Source organism: Homo sapiens, chromosome 10 (genome assembly GCF_000001405.40).
Source record: "Homo sapiens chromosome 10, GRCh38.p14 Primary Assembly".
In the NCBI taxonomy this organism is placed as follows: Eukaryota; Metazoa; Chordata; class Mammalia; order Primates; family Hominidae; genus Homo; species Homo sapiens.
In genome coordinates this window covers 28,645,920-28,668,734 of record NC_000010.11, presented here as the reverse complement: position 1 = coordinate 28,668,734, position 22,815 = coordinate 28,645,920, and the positions used below count along the sequence as shown (strand labels likewise).

General features: G+C 44.9%; 3 pseudogenes, besides 2 other annotated features; all 3 read right to left on the bottom strand.

Moving 5' to 3' along the window:
- On the bottom strand, positions 710 to 816 carry RNU6-1067P (RNA, U6 small nuclear 1067, pseudogene; annotated as a pseudogene).
- TPRKBP1 (TP53RK binding protein pseudogene 1) lies at positions 9,206 to 9,756 on the bottom strand (annotated as a pseudogene).
- Positions 10,326 to 10,889: an enhancer, noted in NCBI's record as "H3K27ac-H3K4me1 hESC enhancer chr10:28946775-28947338 (GRCh37/hg19 assembly coordinates)". NCBI's record gives its function as "activates a minimal SCP1, AML or CMV promoter by ChIP-STARR-seq in naive H9 embryonic stem cells {active_cell/tissue: H9 hESC(naive)}" and the evidence as "EXISTENCE:reporter gene assay evidence [ECO:0000049][PMID:30033119]".
- Positions 13,142 to 13,704: an enhancer, noted in NCBI's record as "NANOG-H3K27ac hESC enhancer chr10:28943960-28944522 (GRCh37/hg19 assembly coordinates)". NCBI's record gives its function as "activates a minimal SCP1, AML or CMV promoter by ChIP-STARR-seq in naive H9 embryonic stem cells {active_cell/tissue: H9 hESC(naive)}" and the evidence as "EXISTENCE:reporter gene assay evidence [ECO:0000049][PMID:30033119]".
- On the bottom strand, positions 15,980 to 16,105 carry RNU4ATAC6P (RNA, U4atac small nuclear 6, pseudogene; annotated as a pseudogene).

Below are 22,815 nucleotides of genomic sequence, written 5' to 3'. Positions count from 1 at the left end.
ATTGAGCGACCCCGACTTGTCTCAAAATAAAACAGGGGCACAGACACTTGTAGTCTGGACAGACTCCCCCCGAGGCTAGAGTCTATAGGAACTGGAGACATCCCTGTACCGATCCTGGTACCAATGCGCCCCTGTTCGCGCTGTGGTTCTCAGTCTCGCTCCCACCGCAACCCCTTCCCCCCGTAACTCGAGAAATTTAAACCAGCGTCTTAAAAATAAACCGCGTGGGAGCCCGGGAGTTCGTGAATGTGGCCGACAGGATAGGAAAAGGTTTTATTGTTGTTCAACTTCTGACCAAAATGGGATCTTTGAGTCACTGAATTTTAAGGAGTCAGGAGATATGGAACAGCAGTTTCCCTGACCTAGAGGTTCAGAGAACAGACCCAGGGACTTTAGGGGCTGGCCTTGGTATGAGTGAGGTGTGTTTTTCAAAACTACTGGGTTTTGTTTGTTTGTTTGATTGATTGATTTCTTTTCTTTCTTTTTTTTCAATATGTTTCATTTTATTTTGAAATTGAAACAGCAAAATGAAGTGGTTTGTGGCTGAAACAACCTCCACGGGAAAGAAAACTGGAGTGTTCGTTCATCCATCAAAGAACAAACGCCAACGTCTGAGCCAACGACCCCAGCTCCCCCAGACAAAGCAGTGAACAGATTAAAGGATGGGAGGAAGGATACAATCAAAATCGGGTGGTGATGGCTGGCAGATAAAAATATGGAACGCTTCATGAATTTGCGTGTCGTTCTTGCGCAGGGGCCATGCTAATCTTCTGTGTATCCTTCCAATTTTAGCATATGTGCTGCCAAAGCAAGCACTTTTTTTTTCTTTAATAGAGACAGGGTCTCGCTTTTATGCCCCGCCTGGTCTCAAACTCCTGGCTTCAAGTGATCCTCCTGCCTCAGCCTCCCAAAGCGCTGGCATTACAGGCTTGAGTCACCATATCTGGCCAATTGATTGCTTTCTTTTCTTTTTTGTTTTTTTTTTTGAGTTGATGCCTCACTCTGTCGCCCAGGCTGGAGTGCAGTAGTGCAATCTCAGCTCACTGCAACGTCTGCCTGTGTTAAGCGATTCTCCTGCCTCAGCCTCCCGAGAAGAAGGGATTACAGGCATACGCCACCCACACCCAGCTAAGTTTTGTATTTTTAGTAGAGATGGGTTTTTGACATGTTGTCCAGGCTGGTCTCAAACTCCCAACCTCAAATAATCCGCCCACCTGGGACTCCCAAAGTGCTGGAATTACAGGTGTGAGCCACCTTGTCTGTGCCAGTTGATTGTTTTCTGATTATAAAAGTAATGGATCACTGTAGAAGACTTGGAAAATACAAAAAAGAATCGTGAAAACGTCTGTGGCTGCGGCGGGTGGCAGGGAGTCTGTTCCTAGGCCAGTTCCCGAGGCAGAACCAGACACAAGGAAGCAGTGGCGAGGTGGGCTCCTGTACCTGGGGCCCAGCATTAGCTTGGGGCTTAGTCACTTACCAGTGTGTGGCTTCGGGCAAACATTGTTAAACCTCTCTAGACTTCATTTTGTCACCTGTAAAATATGACTAATAAAATGAACTCTAAGATCCCTTCTCGGCTCTGTGAAAGGCAACCTCAGAAATCAACTCTGCCTCCAAAACAAGTGGCATGAGCTTCTCCACCAAGTCGAATAAAGTGGAATTACTACTTTCCTAGAAATGCTTTAAGAAAGCGTTGGAAAAGCAGATCTATGACTCCATCTGTCTTTCAGGAGCGCTGTCTCTTAAAAACAGATGTGACTAATAACACAAATATTTGGCAGGTGCCAATACATGTTAAAAGTCCAGTCCAAGGCGATGACCATTCTGATCACACCATTCTAGAATGGTCAACCCAGTGGAAAGTGTGGCATCTTTAAAAATTCTGTAATGAAGCAGAGTGATCAAGTTGGTAAAAGCACTTAATACCACATTCACACAGGGAATGTGAAGGAGGGACTTACATGATAAGAAAGGAGACTTCATTTGTATAATTGCAGAGGTCACAGCAAGGACTAGTGGGTGCCAGGGAAAAGGCACCACATAGGTTTAAGATAAGGAAGAACTTCTAGGAATTAATTCTGTCTGAAGACAGCACAGGCTGTGGTTCCCAAGCACCAGGAGAAGTCCAGCAAGGGACACATGGACTAATTGTTGAACCAAGTGACCATATAAAATCTCTTTCAATGTCAAGATGTTGTCATAACAGCGACATCTTCTAGTTATCATTTCCTTTAATATTAGAGATGACAATGATTTTTCACAACTAGGAAGAACGCTGCACACTGGATCTCATCTAAGGAGTAAGAACCTGAGTGTCAGCTCGGACTTTCCTGAGCTGTTCAAGACCAAAGATGCCCAACTGCGGAGAGAAATGAGGGCAGGTGCGCAACTCACTTCAGAACAGGCCGAGCACCAGGGCTGGCGGGCTGGCTGCGACTGCTTAAGAGGAACAAAAAAAGGCATGAGATGAGGCCATCACATTCCTATGACCCAGCCCTCCCTAACCTAGCAGGCCTGCTCACAAGTGAATAATTACGGGAAGGGCTGCAGAGGGCAGAGGGCCCACAGAAGACAGCTGTAAGTAGGATCTTTTTTTTTTTTTTTTTTTTTTTTTTTTTTGAGACAGAGTTTCGCTCTTGTTGCCCAGGCTGGAATGCAGTGGTGCGATCTCAGCTCACTGCAACCTCTGACTCCCTGGTTCAAGCGATTCTCCTGCCTCAGCCTCCTAAGTAGCTGGGATTACAGGCACGCGCCATTATGCCCAGCTAATTTTTGTATTTTTGGTAGAGACGGGGTTTCACCATGTTCACCAAGATGGTCTTGATCTCCTGACCTCATGATCTGCCCGCCTCAGGCTCCCAAAGTGTTGGGATTACAGGCGTGAGCCACCGTGCCCAGCCCATAAGCAGGATCTTGATTCACGTTTAGGATCCATTTTAAACCAATGGGAGTCTCCCAAACGTGTATTCTGTATGACTGAAAGGCACTTTCTCTCTCCCTTTTCTGACCAGTCTCTAAACAATGCCTCATGTCCATTTTGTTTTGGTCAACAACTGGACAGATTTAACTTTCGATGGATTAAAGGTAAATTCTGTCTGGCAGGCTCTACCAATCTTCCTTATAAGTTATTTCATATCATGGCCGGGCACAGTGGCTCACACCTGTAATCCCAGCACTTTGGGAGGCCGAGGCGGGTGGATCACCTGAGGTCAGGAGTTCAAGACCAGCCTGGCCAACATGGTGAAACCCTGTCTCTACTAAAAATACAAAAATTAGCCGGACCTGGTGGTGGGCACCTGTAATCCCAGCTACTCGAGAGACTGAGGCAGGAGAATCGCTTGAACACGGGAGGCGGAGGTTGCAGTGAGCTGAGATTGTGCCACTGCTCTCCAGCCTGGGCAACAAGAGTGAAACTTTGTCTAAAAAAAAAATCATTTCATACCGTATCATAATTCCAGACAAAAAAGGCAGAGGAAGGAGGTGGGAGAGAGAGGAGGGAAAACCCAAGTAGATCTGATATCTTTCTTTAAGGAGCAGTCATAGTTTATTTTCCCTGCTTTTGCTAACACTTTTCCTTGGTAAGTACCTCTTGAGGTGTACCTACTGGAGGTGTACTGGACCTTCCAGTACCAGGAATAGATCACCATATCCCAGCCTCTTGGCTTTTCTTCTCTTGAAAACACTGTCCTCCCCAGTCCCCTCCCAAGTTTTCTGCACATCACATAGCCTGGTAGCAAGAGAAGCAGCTTATGCTCCAAACCATCAAACCCTCTTTATTTTTTTTCTTTTTTGAGACATAGTCTCACTCTGTTGCCCAAGCTGGAATGCAGTGGCACAATCTCGGTTCACTGCAACCTCCGCCTCCCAGGTTCAAGCGATTCTCCTGCCTCAGCCTCCCCAGTAGGTGGGACTACCGGCACGCACCACCATGCCCGGCTAATTTCTTTTGTATTTATTTTTAGTAGAGATGGGGTTTCACCATGTTGACCAGGCTGGTCTCGAACTCCTGACCTCGTGATCCACCTGCCTTGGTCCCCCAGAATGCTGGGATTACCAGTGTGAGCCATCGTGCCCAGCCTCAAACCCTCTTTTATCAAATGTTTGGATTCTTACACGTACATCATTCAAGTTACTTAAAATAATGTGTTCAGGCCAGGCCTGGTGATTCATGCCTGTATTCCCAGAGCTTTAGGAGGCCAGACTGGGGAATTGCTTGAGGCCAGGAGTTAAAGACCAGATTGGGCAACATAGTAAGAACCTTCTCTACAAAAAATATGAAAATTAGCCAGGCATGGTGGTGCATTCCTGTAGCCCCTTAGTCGGGAGGCTGAGGCAGGAAGATTGTTTGAGCCCAGGAGTCCGAGGCTGCAATGAGTTCTGCTCAAACCACTGCCTTCCAGCCTGGGCAACACAGTGAGGCCCTGTCTCTAAATAATAATAATAATAAATAATAATGCTGTGTTCATTCTCTAGAGAATAATTATGTTCCAAGCTCTAAAAGACTGAGGCGAGGGGAAGCAAGCAAACAAACAAAAAACCCACCAGGGTAACCACTGTTTCTTCAGCCAACACTGGAACTTTGGCATCTCTTATTACTTTTATTTTCCAGAGAATAAAATGCCCTCTTAACGGAGCCCAGAGCTTTCTCTTCCATCCTCCCGCAGGGAGGGAGAGGTCCTGTCGCAGGTCTTTCTCGCCCTCTTGTGGTGAGAGGGAAGCAGCGCTCAGCTGGGAAGACAGCAGCTGCTGTTTGCTGTTGATACAAGAAGCAAGGTCGTTCTAGGAAATATTTAGACTCGATATTTTAATGACTCTGTCTCCATGTCATGCAATGATCTCAGTAAAAGAGGACTGTGACCCCTGTTCCCAGAGTCTTTTTAAGGCTTCAGACAATAATGAGCCAAATTCCCTTTGTGCATAAGACAGAGAAGAGGTGGTGTTACCTCCAGCAGGTGCATATATGCCATGAAGTGCAACAGTGGCCATTGTTCTAAATAAATCACCCTTGCCTAAGAGTGTGTGCCACCCACCAGAAGGGAGAGTTTCTATTCTGGGCCATCCGAGTTCATTTCTGGGTCTTAATATTTTTGAATGGAAATGTGCTAACTGAACAGTACAAGGCATCATTCCTAATCTCTATGATCTAAACCTGGCCTTTTTTTCCCCTACAAATTTAGAAACTTTTTGTTTGTTTGTTTGTTTGTTTTTGAGATGGAGTTTCACTCTTGTTGCCCAGGCTGGAGTGCAGTGCAGTGGTGTGATCTTGGCTCACTGCAACCTCCACCTCCTGGGTTCAAGTGATTGTCCTGCCTTAGCCTCACAAGTAGCTGGGATTACAGCCTCCCAAGTAGCTGGAATTAGCCACCATGCCTGGTTAATTTTTGTATTTTTAGTAGAGATGGGATTTCACCATGTTGGCCAGGCTGGTCTTGAATACAAACTTTTTGACTGACTCTGACTTTAAAAAGCAAACAAACAGGAAGCCCCCAAACAGATGAATTAAGAAATGATCCCCTCCTTTCCTGATCTATATAACACCAAATGATGGGCGACTGAATTTTTGTCCCTAACTGAAACTGACAGCATTGTATTAACAGGAACTCTTATCCAGTTGGAGACCAAAGCCAAGAGACTAACAGGAAAAATCAGCCTCTAACTCTACATTAATCCCCAGTCTATACTGATCATATTAATCATATAGTTCATGCGGATGCTAAGAGCTATGTGAGACCACATCAGCCACTCTTTAAATTAAATGATGGGGGCTGGATGCGGTGGCTCACGCCTGTTATCTTAGCACTTTGGAAGGCCGAGGCATGTGGATTACTTGAGCCCAGGAGTTTGAGATCACCCTGGGCAACACAGTGAAACACTGTCTCTACAAAAAATACAAAAATTAGCCAGAAATGGTGGCATGTGCCTGTAGTCCCAAATTCCTCAGAGGCTGTGGTGGGAAGATCGCTTGAGCCATGGAGATTGAGGCTGCAGTGAGCCATAATCATGCCACTATACTCCAGACTGGGCAACAGAGCGAGATCCTCTCTCAAAAAACAAACAAAAATTAATTAATTAATTAATAAAAATGAGGCTGGGCACGGTGGTTCACGCCTGTGATCCCAGCACTTTGGGAGGCTGAGGCGGGTAGATCACCTGAGGTCAGATGTTCGAGACCAGCCTGGCCAACATGGTGAACTCTGTCTCTACTAAAAATACAAAAAATGAGCCAGGCGTGGTGGCGGAAGCCTGTAATCCCAGTTACTCGGGAGACTGAGGCAGAAGAATTGCTTGAACCCAGGAGGCAGAGGTTGCAGTGAGCAGAGATTGTGCCATTGCACTCCAGCCTGGGTGACAGAGTGAGACTCCATCTCAAAAAAAAGAAAGATCACATCTGTCTCTGATTTTACAGTTGAGGGGACCAAGACTAGGTTAAATGGCTTCCTCAAGGTCACACCAACTGCACCGAAGCTCTGAGTTCAGGACACCACCCTCCATCTCAAAGGCTGGGAAGCTATGAAGGGATCATCACTGGCAAATAGTGGTTTGTTTCTCCTTGAACAGGATGTGGCAAGAAATTGTTAAGAGAGGGAGGAGAAGGGAAGGAGAGGAAGGGGAGAGACTTTATAGCTGAAAATATGGGCTGTTTTTGAGTTGATTAAATAACTACCACTCCCAAACTTGTCTCAGTTTCTATGAGCCTAAAGTAAGGAATTCTGGGAATGAGTTTTAGGTCATTCTTGGATTTCAGCTTTCAGTTACAGGAAGCAACCTGTCTAGGGAGCTGTCAGTAGCTGCTTTCTCCAATGCTTCATTTTATTTGCAAGGTCCTTCTGCACAGAGCTTGGCCTTCTCCTATGGAAAAATGCTCTATGGGAAATTCCTGACCCTCACACCAGTCAGGGAAATGGCTTCCATGGAAGGGACACCCCAGGGCCCCTGGGGTCCATACCTGGTTCCATTTCAAGGACCATAAATGGGAGACCCACCAATCGCTAAGGACCTGGAGATGATTTTATCTTCCAGGCTGAAACTGCCTTTGAAAGATGACGATAGTGAGGGAGGTGTAGCATGGCTGACTCCATCTTGCTCTAGCCTCACAGGCTGGCTGTCTTTGCTCACACCTGGGCATAGGCCAAGTTAACCATGGGAGGAATTTAGTTTATAGTTTAAGTTGGAAGCAAGAATGATAATGGTCCCTCCCTCAAAGTAACCCCTTCCTTGCTCAGGGACCAAAAACTAATGAAAGGCGATGAGATTAAAATTATGGGAGGGTCCTGAACTCTGCTAAAATGTAGGAATAGTTTCTATAATCCCTTACTGCTCAGGAGTTCTGTGGCCAGAAGCCACAAGATTTGTGACTTCCCCAGTTGCTCCTATAGATACCACCATTGGTGTAGAAGCTCAGATTGGTCTTTTGAGATGTTTTTCAGATATTTGCATTCTGGCAACCGACTGGCCCCACCCAGGATCGTGACTCATGACTCAACCAGTCCTGTGGCCATCAACCAGAGGCAGACTCAGTGAACAAGAAGCATTTTTCCACACCCTGTGATTTCATCACCAACCAGTTAGCAGCATCCATTCCCTAGTCTCCAGCCCACCATACTATCCTTGAAAAACCCTAACCCCAGTTTTCTGGGAGACTGATTTGAGTGACAATTCCAGTTCTTTCACACGGCCAGCCTCAAGTCAGTTAAACTCTTGCTTTTGCTCTGTCGCCAAGGCTGGAGTACAGTGGCGTGATTTTGGCTCACTGCAACCTCCGCCTCCTGGGTTCAAGCAATTCTCCTTCCTCAGCCTGTCTAGTAACTGGGATTACAGGTGCAAGCCACCATGCCTGGCTAATTTTTGTATTTTTAGTAGAGACAGAGTTTTGCCATGTTGGCCAGGCTGGTCTCAAACTCCTGACCTCAATTGATCTGCCCACCTCGGCCTCCCAAAGTGCTGGGATTACAGGTGTGAGCCACCACACACAGCTTAAACTCTTTCTTTACTGCAATACCACAGTCTCAGCGAACTGGTTTTGTCTGTAGCAGGCAGGAAGAACCCATCAGGCAATTTACAAGACCAAGAACAAGGAAGGTAGCTGTAACTTCCCCTGGGGCCCCACCCTCTGGGCTAGAACGAAGTGGGTCTACCTAAACCCAGCTTCTCCACCTGACCTTGCTCCTTCAAGCTCTACTGCCTTCAGGTCACAACTGCATGGTGCTTTTGCTCTGACTACAAGACAGGGAGAGGACACACAGGAAGGGCCCTGGGCTGAGAGTCGCCTTGACATCAGCTGTTGGCCTGGCTCTGGGTCAGACTTCACTTAGCCCCTTGGGTTGCAAAGTCCTCAGCTACAAAACAAACTGACCTGAGAAATGGCTTCTCAAGTCCCTCCTGGCTCTAGGAGTTGAAGCCTCTTTTGTGCGGCTTGCTCACACTATGCAAGATAGATAATGAAAAGGCTGTTAAAGTGGAGTCCTCGTTCTTGGTTCTTGCAGAGGCTCCAAAGACCTAGGTCAGTGATTCTCCAACTTCAGCATGCTTTAGAATCATCTGGAGTGCTTGGAAAAACAGATTCATGGGCCCCATTCCACAGTGTACAATTTAGTAAGGTTGAGGTAGGGCCTGAGAATTTGCATTTCTTCTTTTTTAAAAGTGTTTGCAATTTTTATTCCAATTACATAAAAATAAAATATATTTGAATAGAAGTAGAAGACTAGAAGGCACTAACAAATAATAGTAACTGGTTATCTTTTAAAACAATAAAAGAGGTGGGACCAAGGCATGGTGGCTCATGCCTATAATCCTAGTGCTTTAGGAGGCTGAGGTGGGAGGATCGCTTGAGGTTAGGAGTTTGAGACCACTCTGGGCAACATAGCGAGATGCCATCACTACAAAAAATAAAATAAAATAACATTTTAATCAGCAAAGGAAAATACATTTGTTTTGTTTTGTTTTGTTTCGTTTTTGAGACGGAGGCTCACTCTGTCGCCCAGGCTGGAATGCAGTGGCACGATCTGGGCTCACTGCAACCTCCTCCTCCCAGGTTCAAGCAATTCTCCCAAGTAGCTGTGATTACAGATGCGCCACCACTATGCCCAGTTAATTTTTTGTATTTTTATAGAGATGGGGTTTCACCATGTTGCTCGGGCTGGTCTTGAATGCCTGAGCTCATGTGATCTGCCCACCTTGGTCTCCCAAAGTGCTGGGATTACAGGCCCAGTGTTTTCTTTAATGCCGAAAATTTCTGCAAATAATTCTTTTCACAAAACATCCTTTTCACAAAACATTCTTTGTTGACATTCTACAAATACCATCCAATAATGTTCCCAATGCTTTCTTCTTGTGGAGGGAGTGTATATTTCTTTTTGACTTTTGTAATATTTATTATTTCAGGAAGATTTTTCAGAGAAACCTGCTGACCTTCTATTTGAGATATTAGATATCCTTGATTTATTTGTTTTTCTCCCTCGTTAGTATAAACAATTGGAATTTAAGTGTCATTTGCTGAGATACCACATTTTTTCAATGCCTCTGAAATATTGTTATTTGGGGAAAGGTTGAAAATAATTTCAGTAGATAGAGCTCTTGTCTTCATTTCTCCCAGTTTGTAGAGGCAAACTGCTTTCTTTGTGGCTGCAAATATCTCAAATGGATTGACAATCACTGCAGGATGTATCAGTGAGCCATCAATGACACCTTCCATGGCTTTCTTTCTCAAGTTCCCCACATTTTTTACGTCTTTAAATAATATTAATAGAAGGGTCAGCCGGGCACGGTGACTCACTCCTGTAATCCCAGCACTTTGGGAGGCTGAAGCGGGCGGATCACCTGAGGTCAGGAGTTTGAGACCAGCCCGGCCAACATGGTGAAACCCTGTCTCTACTGAAAATACAAAAATTAGCCAGGCGTGGTGACACATACCTGTAATCCCAGCTACTTGGGAGGCTGAGGCAAGAGACTCACTTGAACCTGGGAGGCGGAGGTTGCAGTGAGCCGAGATCGGGCCACTGCATTCCAGCCTGGGTGACAGAGCAAGACTCCGTCTCAAAAAAAAAAAAAAAAGTGCCGAGCACAGTGGCTCATGCCTGTAATCCCAGCACTTTGGGAGGCTGAGGTGGGTGGATTACCTGAGGTCAGGAGTTCGAGACCAGCCTGGCCAACATGGTGAAATCCTGTCTCTACTAAAAATACAAAAACTAGCTGGGCATGGTGGCACATGCCTGTAGTCCCAGCTACCCAGAAGGCTGAGGCAGGAAAATTGCTCAAACCCAGGAGGCAGAGGTTGCAGTAAGCCAAGATGGTGCCACTGCACTACAGCCTGGTGACAAAGCAAGGCTCCATCTCCAAAAAAAAAAAGAAAAAGAAAAAATAGAACAGTCACCCATCCAGTCACCTGTCCAGTCTCTGGTGCATCTCCTGCAGGTCTTGTAAGTTCCCAGGTGATGCTGATGCTGCCAACTGGGGACCACCCTTTGAGAACCTTTGGCCTAGAGCTAGAGGCACCAGGTATTCTCCAGTTCTTACAAGACATGCCAAGAGACTGGAACCCTACTCTGCCAGCAATAAGAAGGCTCCTACAGGCAGACACCTAACCCTATACCTGACGACAGATTCCGACACAACCTGTTTCCTAAGGTCAGTCTCATGGAGACTGTTCAATGATAACTAATATTCACACGGTGCATTATAGTTTTCAGAGAGCTGCACTTTACTTCATTTGTTTCTCCTCACAATTCTGTGATATGGATACCGTATCTTCATTTTTGGAGAAAAAAAAGTCAAGTCAAGTCTTTGATGAGTGTCATGGTCAAGACTTGGACGAGTGTCATGCAGCTACAAAGAGGTGGAGTGGGGACCCAGGACTCACCCAGGTCTTTTGAGTCATCCGTGATCTCTGTACTTTACCAAGCTGCACTTCAATCTACTCTTCTGGTTTACTGGAGCACTGGGGTTTTTTTTGTTGTTGTTGTTTTTTGAGATGGAGTCTTGCTCTTTCACCCAGGCTGGAGTGCAGTGTCACCATCTCAGCTCACTGCAACCTCCACCTCCAGGTTCAAGTGATTCTCCTGCCTCAGCCTCCTGAGTAGCTGGGATTACAGTTGGGTGCCACCACCCCTGGCTAATTTTTTTGTATTTTTAGTAGAGACGGGGTTTTACCATGTTGGCCAGGCTGGTCGCGAACTCCTGACCTTAAGTGATCTGCCCGCCTCAGCCTCCCAAAGTGCTGGGATTACAGATGTGAACCACCATGCCCAGGCTGGGGCACTGTTTCTTTTCTTTTCTTTTCTTTCTTTCTTTCTTTTCTTTTTCTTTTCTTTTCTTTTCTTCTTCTTTTTTTTTTTTTTTTTTTTTTTTTTTTGAGACAGAGTTTCTCTCTTGTTGCCCAGGCTGGAGTGCAATGGTGTGATCTCAGCTCACTGCAACCTCCACCTCCTGGGTTCAAGCGATTCTCCTGCCTCAGCCTCCTGAGTAGCTGGGACTACAGGCATGCGCCACCACGTCCAGCTAATTTTTGTATTTTTAGTAGAGATGGGGTTTCACCATGTTGGCCAGGCTGGTCTCAAACTCCTGACCTCAGGTGACCCACCCACTTCTGCCTCCCAAAGTGCTGAGATTACAGGTGTGAGCCACCGCGCCCAGCCCTGGGGCACTGTTTCTGACCAGAAAACTACTTATTGAGGTGCTAATTAGGGATCATTTTAACACACGCAAAACTGTGTTATTCAGATGGCCATTTTTCCCTGGTTCCATTGCAAATCCCAGTAGAAACCTGACCTGGAAGCCCTTGCTCCTGCATTAGAACATGGCATGGAAATAGTCTGGTGAAATAGTGAATTAATTTTCATTGTGTTTCAGTCATTGTCCTCAGTGGTGTCAGTTTTTCTGTACCGTCCAATGTGCTGGAGAACAACTCTCTAGATAGGATTGTCCAAAGATACATTTTGATACTTAGTTCTCAGTTTTGATTTTTCAAATCCCTGATCACTTTCTTTTTTTTATTTTTTGAGACAGAGTTTCGCTCTTGTTGCCCAGGCTGGAGTGCGATGGCATGATCTCAGCTCACGGTGACCTCCACATCCCAGCTTCAAGCGATTCTCCTGCCTCAGCCTCCCTAGTAGCTGGGATTATAGGCATGTGCCACCATACCTGGCTAATTTTGTATTTTGGGTTGAGATGGGGTTTATCCATGTTGGTCAGGCTGGCCTTGAACTCCCGACCTCAGGTGATCCGCCTGCCTCAGCCTCCCAAAGTGCTGGGATTACAGGCTTCTTTTTATTTTTTTAAAGATGGGGTCTCGCCATGTTGCCCAGACTGGTCTTGAACTCCTGGGCTCAAGCGATCAACCTACTTTGGCCTCCTAAAGTGCTGGGATTACAGGCATAAGTCACTGCATCTGGCTCTGATCACTTTCTTAATTCCTTTCTGTCCACACAGAACATAATGAACAGCAAGTTCTTAGAAGTATTTGGCAGACAGTTAACATAAAGTGATGACTGCAAACAGAATAAGCTCATTCTCCTCTGTAGGTAACTCTTCTGCATTGACTATTAGGAACTTCCTAAATAATGTTACTTAAGTGATGTGTCAGCCTCATTCTTGATCAGTCCTTCAGGGAATGCCAGCTGTGGAGAGGATGCTGTTGCTGTCTTTCATGATGAATGACCCAGTGTAGTTAAAGGGAATTCAGCCCAGTTTACTAGGATGGACACACACACACACACACACACACTCACAATCACCTATCACCTTAAATGTTTCTACTTTAGGACAAATGGACCATCTTACAATGACTTAACTATGCTTGTCCTATGGTGAAACATTGACTCTTGACATAGGTTTTTGTTTGTTTGTTTGTTTGTTTTTCTTTTGGAGACGGAGTCTTGCTCTGTCGCCCAGGCTGGAGTGCAGTAGCACAGTCTTGGCTCACTGCAACCTCCGCCTCCTGGGTTCAAGCAATTCTGCTGCCTCAGCCTCCTGAGTAGCTGGGATTACAGGCACCCACCACCACACCTGGCTAATCACCCAGCTAATTTTTGGTATTTTTAGTAGAGACGGGGTTTTTTTTTTTTTAATTAATTAATTTATTTATTTATTAATTGATCATTCTTGGGTGTTTCTCGCAGAGGGGGATTTGGCAGGGTCATAGGACAATAGTGGAGGGAAGGGCAGCAGATAAACAAGTGAACAAAGGTCTCTGGTTTTCCTAGGCAGAGGACCCTGCGGCCTTCCGGCCTTCCGCAGTGTTTGTGTCCCTGGGTACTTGAGATTAGGGAGTGGTGATGACTCTTAACGAGCATGCTGCCTTCAAGCATCTGTTTAACAAAGCACATCTTGCACCGCCCTTAATCCATTTAACCCTGAGTAGACACAGCACATGTTTCAGAGAGCACATGGTTGGGGGTAAGGTCATAGATCAACAGCATCCCAAGGCAGAAGAATTTTTCTTAGTATAGAACAAAATGAAGTCTCCCATGTCTACTTCTTTCTACACAGACACAGCAACAATCTGATTTCTCCAACTTTTCCCCACCTTTCCCCCTTTTCTATTCCACAAAACCGCCATCGTCATCAAGGCCCATTCTCAATGAGCTGTTGGGTACACCTCCAAGACGGGGTGGTGGCCGGGCAGAGGGAGACGGGGTTTTTTAGTAGAGACGGGGTTTCACCATGTTGGCCAGGCTGGTCTTGAACTCCTGACTCAGGTGATCCACCTGCCTCAGCCTCCCAAAGTGTTGGGATTACAGGCGTGAGCCTCTATGCCTGGCCAACATAGGCCTTTTGAATGAGAGATTAAAAACCATGTTCATTCATCCTGAGATTCTCCCCCCATCACAGGGTCCTCCTGCATTCCTCATCAGTGATGCTGAGAGATGAGTGGGGCATAGGGTGTCAGTTCTGACCAGTGGAAGTCTCCCAAGCCACAAGGGATGGAGAGAATTGGGCTTTCTGGTCTTACAGTCAAAACCCCATCTTCGAAAGCCTATTTCCCTAAGACCAGACTCTAAGGAGAGAGGAAAGGGGAAATGCTGTGGCCTCAAGCCCTCTGGACAATGTGAAGGTTGGATAGTTGGTCTTGAGCAGCAGTTAGACAGAGATGAGCCCAGAAGGGCAGTAGTGGCCGAGCAGAGGTAGGGAGAAGTAGGGAAAACGCCGCCCTGATGCATGACGAGGGCATGGACAGGAGCACCAGGGCCAGGGGCAGGAACCAAACTTTCCCAAAGTCCTCAATGAGTTGACAGAATGCATTTTTTAGCAAACTGGTTGAGAGTCATCCAGAACAGGATGATTCTGCCTTGAGATCTTCCTCGTTTGCTCGTTTGGTTTTTTTTTTTTTTTTGAGATGGGGTCTCACTGTGTCACCCAGGCTAGAGTACAGTGGTGCGATCTCAGCTCACTGCAACCTCCACCTCCTGGGTTCAAGTGACTCTCCTGCTTCAGCCTCCTGAGTAGCTGAGATTACAGGCGCTCACCACCATGACCGGCTAATTTTTTGTGTTTTTAGTATAGAGATGGGGTTTCACCATGTTGGTCAGGCTGGTCTTGAACTCCTGACCTCAGGTGATCCGCCCACCTCGGCCTCCCAAAGTGCTGGGATTACTGGCATGAGCCAACATTCTGTGGCCCCATTCTTGGATTTTATGCACTCAATCAACTACCTTCTCACCTAAATTTGGTTGCATAGCTTTGGTGAAAGTCAGGCCTCTCCTTCAGTGAAAAAATAATTTTAATACCTAATTATTCATCTTACATAGTAGCACAATAAAACGCACCACATTCTGAAGAAATTTCAGAATTACGGAAATAAGAGTCAGGAAAATTCAGATGGGCTACAATATCCACTACCTTAAACTCCAAAGACAAGGTTAATATTTACATATTTGTGGCTGAGCATGGTGGCTCACATCACACCTATAATCTCCAGCGCTTTGGGAGGCTGAGGCAGGAGAATTGCTTGAGGCCAGGAGTTCGAGACCAGCCTGGGCAGCATGGTGAGATCTCATCTCTACAAAAAAAAATTAAAAAATTAGCCAAATATGATGACATGCACCTGTGGTCCCAGCTACTTGGGAGGCTGAAGTGGGAGGATCACTTGAGTGCAGGAATTCAAGGACACAGTGAGCTATGATTGCAGCATTGCCCTCCAGCCTGGGTGACAGAGGGAGGTGCTGTCTCTAAAAATTAATTAATTAATTTAATTGATTAAAAAAACCATTTGGAGTCTGGGCGCAGTGGCTCACACCTGTAATCTCAGCACTTTGGGAGTCTGAGGTGGGCAGATCACCTGAGGTCAGGAGTTCGAGACCAGCCTGGTCAACATGGTGAAACCCCGTCTCTACTAAAAATACAAAAAATTAGCCGGGCATGGTGGCTGGCACCTGTAGTCCCAGCTACTCGGGAGGCTTAGACAGGAGAATCGCTTGAACCTGGGAGGCAGAGGTTACAGTGAGCAGAGATCCCACCACTGCACTCCAGCCTGGGTGACAGAGCAAGACTGTCTCAAAAACAAAACAAAAACCATTTGGTAAGCTGTAAAGATCCATTACTGGTATTCCATGGAACGGGTATCCTAGAAGGGACCATGAACGGGAGAATGAGCTCAAAAGAAGAACAACGGGAAGATGCTGAACACAGACTTCTCCTGCTCACAGTTGTGCCTAAAGGCTACCATAGCTGTCCTTGGAATATGCAGCTCCTCAAATAAAGTTCTATTGCTGGTGTTTGGTGTGTTCTATAGGCAGCATTTCAGTATGACTTACTCTAAACTGAAATGTTTTGGACTCCCTGCTCATGTTCCCTAGGTTACAGACAAACAGCCTACAGATAATCTCAGATGCTACCAGCACTTGGGATGAGAGGCCACTAGGCTACAGGGCGCCCGCCCATACTAGGGAGCCGCCTTTCCCCACACTCAGCCCATCAGCACTGGAGAGAGGAGGCAGGGGGAGGAATTGCCCCTAATGCACTGCTTTTGGTTTTTTCTTTTTTTCTTTTTTTCAAAAATTGCACGAAGATAAAGCAAAGCTGTAGTTGACGCAGGTGTGTTGTGTAGACGCTTGCAGTTCCACCCTCGCTGTGTGCTCATTGGATAGTAACGCAGCCCCAAGTAAAGGATGGTGGTTGCTGCCAATGTACTTCCATTCCACCGGGGTGAGGCCCACCAAGCAAATGGTCTATTTGGAAAAAATATAAGGACATTTGCTCTCCTACCCAGAAATGACCTTTGAACTTAGAAGAAAATGAATAAACACATAAAAATAAAAAAAGAAAGAAAATGAATAAACACAACAGAGTTAGGTTATTACATAGTGAGGTTCATTTTCTTCTAAAGTAACAAGAGTCACAACATACATGTTGAAGTCTGATACACTCTCTGTTCCTCTCCCTGCTATGGGTTCCCCACTAATAACTTTATGAGCTCAGGCTGAAATGTCAACTTGAACTTTAGCGCTTGCGGCACAACCAACTATAACTCAGTTTAAGCATACTTATTTTATTTGATTGAGTGTTTCAATTTACTCTGCACTTCCTGAGGTTCTTGGGTTAAAACAACATGATCTAATGCAATAAAAACTAGCAAAAATATATATTTATTCTTTATTTCCAGTAGCACAAGGCCAGTTGAATCTACCCAAAGCATACCTAAACAGTGTTAACAAGCCTGCATGCTAAATGATTTTCTCTCCTTTCTGGTGCCCACACATTCAATTCAGAAGCCCCTTGGTTTTGCAATGGCATATCAACATACGCAGTTTCAGGACTAACCAAGAGTGTCTGCAAGCTAAAAGGTGGTGTTAATAGTGAGTGCATAAGGAAGTTTCTGAATAGTTTTGAGGCAGATCAGGCCAAGGAGAAACAAGGTTTATTCTTCAATGATTAATATTAATTTCATAACTCCTGCCAGGAGTATAGAGCATACGAACTTTACAATTTTTATTTTTATTTTTTTGAGATGGAGTTTTGCTCTTGTTGCCCAGGCTGGAGTGCAGTGGAGCAATCTTGTCTCACTGAAACCTCCGCCTCCCAGTTTCAAGCAATTCTCCTGCCTCAGCTTCCCGAGTAGCTGGGATTACAGGCATGTGCCACCAGACCCAGCTAATTTTTGTATTTTTAGTAGACAGGGTTTCACCATGTTGGCCAGGCTGGTCTTGAACTCCTGACCTCAAGTGACCCACCTGCCTCTGCCTCCCAAAGTGCTGGGATTACAGGTGTGAGCCACTGCGCTCAGCCTGAACTTTACAATATTCTTGAACACATAAAACCAGGAAAGGGACCAGGGAGAAGCTGGTACTTGACTTGGACCTTAAAGCAAGAACAGGAGATTTAAAAAGAGAGAGAGTGAAGGCAGGAAAGAACAAGTGAGAGTGGCATGCATGCACTCAACAAATATTAATAGTGCATGAACTGGCTGGGTGCGGTGGCTCACGCCTGTAATCCCAGCATTTTCAGAGGCTGAGGTGGGTGGATCACTTGAGGTTGGGAGTTGGAGACCAGCCTGATCAACATGGAGAAACCCCATCTCTACTAAAAATACCAAAAAAATTAGCTGGACGTGGTGGCGCACATCTGTAATCCCAGCTACTTGGGAGGCTGAGGCAAGAGAATTGCTTGAAGCCAGGGGGCAGATGTTGCAGTGAGCTGAGATCACACCATTGCACTCCAGCCTGGGCAACAAGAGCGAAACTCTGTCTCAAAAAAAAAAAAAAAAAAATAGTGCATGAACCATGTGCCAGGACCTGGACTAGATGCTAGGATACATCCGTGAATACAAATATCTCCTGGAACTTACATTGTCACAGAGGGAGACACACAATGGACAAGTAACATATAGAGGTTACAGATGGTAATAGGTCCAATAGAGAATAGTGCTAGGAAAGAGGATGGGGGGTCCCGAGTGAGTTAAAACAGAGTGACCAGGTGGTGCCTCTCTGATAAAGTGACCATTTTAGTGAGACCGCAAGGAAGTAAGAGAGCGGGTTGTCCAGCTATAAGGAGGAAGTTTTCTGCACAGAGGGTACAGTAAGTGTAAACGCCCTGTGGTAGAATTATGCTCAGAGAAAGCATGCATTCTCAACGGGGCAGACAGCATCCTGAGGGAGTGAAAATTCATTCTTGGAAGATGAAGAAAAACTTCTCTCTTTTTTTTTTTTCCCCCGAAAGGGAGTCTCACTCTGTTGCCCAGGCTGGAGTGCAGTGGCGCGATATCGGCTCACTGCAAGCTCTGCCTCCCGGGTTCAAGCGATTCTCCTGCCTCAGCCTCCCGAGTAGCTGGGATTACAGGCACATGCCATCACGCCCGGCTGATTTTTTGTATTTTTAGTAGAGACGGGGTTTCACTGTGTTAGCCAGGATGGTCTCTATCTCCTGACCTCGTGGTCCTCGCGCCTTGGCCTCCCAAAGTGCTGGGATTACAGGGATGAGCCACCGTGCCAGGCCTTTTTTTTTTTTTAGACAATGTCTCACTCTGTTGCCCAGGCTGGAGTGCAGTGGCGTCATTTCAGCTCACTGCAACCTCTGCCTCCCGGTTCAAGCGATTCTCATGCCTCAGCCACCCGAGTAGCTGGGACCACAAGCACATGCCACCACACCCAGCTAATTTTTGTATTTTTGGTAGAGATGGGGTTTCACCACGTTGGCCAGGCTGGTCTGCAACTCCTGACCTCAAGTGATCCGCCTGCCTCAGCCTCCCAAAGTACTGGGATAATAGGCATATAGGCATGAGACACCACATTCTACCAAAACTTACTCTTTTCTTTTTTTTTTTTTTTTTTTTTTTTTTGAGACGGAGTCTCGCTCTGTAGCCCAGGCTGGAGTGCAGTGGTGCGATCTCGGCTCACTGCAACGTCCGCTTCCTGGGTTCACGCCATTCTTATGCCTCAGCCTCCCCAGCAGCTGGGACTACAGGGGCCCATTGCCATGCCCGGCTATTTTTTTGTATGTTTAGGAGAGACGGGGTTTCACCGTGTTAGCCAGGATGGTCTCGATCTCCTGACCTCGTGATCGGCCCGCCTCGGCCTCCCAAAGTGCTGGGATTACAGGCGTGAGCCACTGCGCCCGGCAAATCAGTGGCATTTCTATGCACAAACAATGAACTAGCTGAAGGAGAAAATCAAGAAGGCAATTCTATTTCCAATAGCTACAGGAAAGTATCTAGGAATAAATTTAACCAAGGAGGTGAAACACCCCTACAAGGAATACTACAAAACACTGGTGAGAGAAATTGCCGAGGATACAAACAAATGGAAAAACACCCCATGCTCATGGATGGAAATAATTAATATTGTTAAAATGACAATACTACCTAAAGCAATTTACAGATTTAATGCAATCTCTATCAAAATACCAATGACATTCTTCACAGAAATAGGAAGAAAAAATCCTATTATTTGTGTGGAACCACAAAAGACCCTGAAGCAATCCTAGCAAAAAGAACGAAGCTGGAGTCAGAACACTGCCAGACCTCAAAATATACTACAAAGCTGTAGTAACCCAAACAGCATGGCATGAGCATAAAAACAGACACTTAGACCAATATAACAAAATAGAGAACTCAGAAATTAATCTGCATATCTACAGGCAACTAATTTTTGGCAAAAGTGCGAAGAACACTCATTGGGGAAAGGACAGTCTGTTCAATTAATGGTGCTGAGAAAACTGAATATTAATATGCAGAAGAATAAAACCAGACCACCACCTCTCACCCTATATAAAATTCAACTCAAAATGGATCAAAGCTGGTGGGAGGGGAGCATAAAAAAATAAAAATAAAAATAATGGATCAGAGACCTAAGTATAAGATCTGAAACAATAAAAATACTAGAAGAAAGCATAGGGAAAATCCTCCAGGACACTGGTCAGGAATACATTTTATGAATAAGACCTCCAAAAACACAGGCAACAAAAACAAAAATAAACAAATGGGATATATCAAACTAGAAAGCTTCTGCACAGCAAGGGAAGCAATTAACAGAGTGAAAAAACAGCCTACAGAATGGGAAAAATATTTGCAAATGATTTATCCAACAGGTGATTAATATCCAGAATATACAAGGAATTCTAACATCTCAACAGCAAAAAATAATCTGAGGTCAGGAGCGGTGGCTCACGCCTGTAATCCCAGCACTTTGGAAGGCTGAGGCGGGTGCCTCACCTGAGATCAGGAGTTTGAGACCAGCCTGGGCAACTTGGTGAAACCCCATCTCTACTAAAAATACAAAGTTAGCTGGGTATGGCGGCGCATGCCTGTAATCCCAGCTACTCGGGAGGCTGAGGCAGGAGAATCACTTGAACCCAGGAGCGGAGCTTGCAGTGAGCCAAGATTGCACCATTGTTTTCCAGGCTCGGTGACAGAGTGAGATACCACCTCAAAAAAAAAAAATCTGATTAAAAAATGGGCAAATTATCTGAACAGACATTTCTTAAAAGAAGACATACAAATGGTCAACAAAGATATGAAAAAAATGCTCAGCATCACTATCAGGGAAATGTAAATCAAAACCACCATGAGATATCATCTCACTCCAGTTAGGAGGACTATTATTAAAATGACAAAAAGTAACAAATGCTGGCGAGGGTGTAGAGAAAAGGGAATTCTTACACATTGTTGGTGGGAAAGCAAACTAGTACAGCTACTATGGTGAGTGGTATGAAGGTCCTTCAAAAAGGGCCTTCCATTTGTAGCTACAAATGGAACTACCATATGATCCAGCAATCCTACTACTGGAAATTTATCCAAAGACAAGGAAATCATTATATCGAAGAGACACCTGTATCCCATATTTACTGCAGTACTATTCACAATAGTCAAGATACGGAATCAACCTAAGTGTCCAACACCAGATAAATGGATAAAGAAACTGTGGTATTTATACACCATGGAATACAATTCAGCCATAAAAAAATTAAATTTTGTCATTTGAGGCAGCCTCGAAAGAACTAGAAGACACTATGTTAAGTGAAATAACCCAGGAACAGAAAGTTAAACACTGCATGTTCTCACTCATAGGTAGAAGCTAATAAAAGTTGATCACATAGAAGTAAAAAGTAGAACAGAGCCTACTAGAAACTGGGAAGGATAGGGGAAAGAGAGGGATAGGGAGATTTGTTAAAGGATACAAAATTACACTAAGAAGGAGGAATAAATTCTAGTGTTCTATAGCACTACAGGATGACTAGAGTTAACAATAATATATTAATATTACATAGTTTCAAATAGCTAGATGGAAAATATTGAATGTTCCCATCACAATGGAATGATAAATGTTTGTGAAGATGGATATGCTAATTGCCCTGATCTGATCACTATAAATTGTATATATCAAAATATCACTATGTACCCCATAGGTATGTGCAATTATTATTTGCCAATTTAAAAAATAAACTAAATTTTAAAATTGTCCATTCATCAGGAAGACATAACCATATGTTTGTATATGGTTTGTATATGTTTGTATATGTATATCTAATAATAGGTGTTTGAAACACATGAAGCAAATATCGATATAATTAAAGAGAAGAGAGGCATTTTCACAATTATAGAGGTTTTAATATCTCTCAGCAATTAACAGAACAACTAGGTAAAGAATAGAAAATACACAGAAAAACCACGCATGGTGGCTCATGCCTGTAATCCCAGCTACACAGGAGGATTGCTTGAGGCCAGCAGTTTGAAACCATCCTGGGCAACTTAGCAAGATCCCATCTTTATAAAGAAATAAATAATACTTAGAAGTTCTGAACACCATTGACTACCTTCCTAGAACACTATATCTAACAAGAACAGAATACAGATTATTTTCAAGTATATATGATACTTACCAGGATGGACTATATATATATATGCTGGGTTATAAAAAAAGCCTCAATAAATTTTAAAATATTGAAATTATGCAAAGTATATTCTCTGACTATAATGGAATTAAATCAGAAATTAAAAACAGTAAAATAATTAGGAAAGCCTCAAATATTTGAAAATTAAACACAGGTTGGGTGCGGTGGCTCACGCCTGCAATCCCAGCACTTTGGGAGGCCAAGGTGGGTGGATCACCTGAGGTCGGGAGTTCAAGACCAGCCTGACCAACATGGAGAAACCCTATCTCTACTAAATACAAAATTAGCCGGACATGGTTGCGCATGCCTGTAATCCCAGCTACTCGGGAGGCTGAGGCAGGAGAATCATTTGAACCCGGGAGCTGGAGGTTGTGGTGAGCTGAGATCACACCATTGCACTCCAGCCTGGGCAACAAGAGCTTGACTCCATCTCAAAAGCAAAACAAAACAAAACAAACAAACAAACAAACAAAAAACCAAAAAACACACTTCTGAAAAATCTATGGGTCAAAAGAAAAAATTATCAGAGAAATTAGAAAAGATTTCCAACTAAATGATAATCAAAATAAGCCAGGCAGAGTGTTTCATGTCTGTAATCCCAGCAATTTGGGAGGTTGAGGTCGGAGGATTGCTTGAAGCCAGGAGTTCCAAGACTAGTCTGGGCAACACAGTGAGATACTGCCTCTACAAAAAATAAGAAAAAAAAAAAAAATTAGCCAAGTGTGGCCGGGCGCTGTGGCTCACTCCTGTAATCCCAGCACTCTGGGAGGCCCAGGCGGGCGGATCAGGAGGTCAGAAGATCGAGACCATCCTGGCTAACATGGTGAAACACTGTCTCAGTAGAGACAGTGCTTATTTTTAGTAAAAAATACAAAAAATTAGCCGGGCATGGTGGCGGGTTCCTGTAGTCCCAGCTACTCGGGAGGCTGAGGCAGGAGAATGGCATGAACCCAGGAGGTGGAGCTTGCAGTGAGCCAAGATCGCGCCACTGCACGCCAA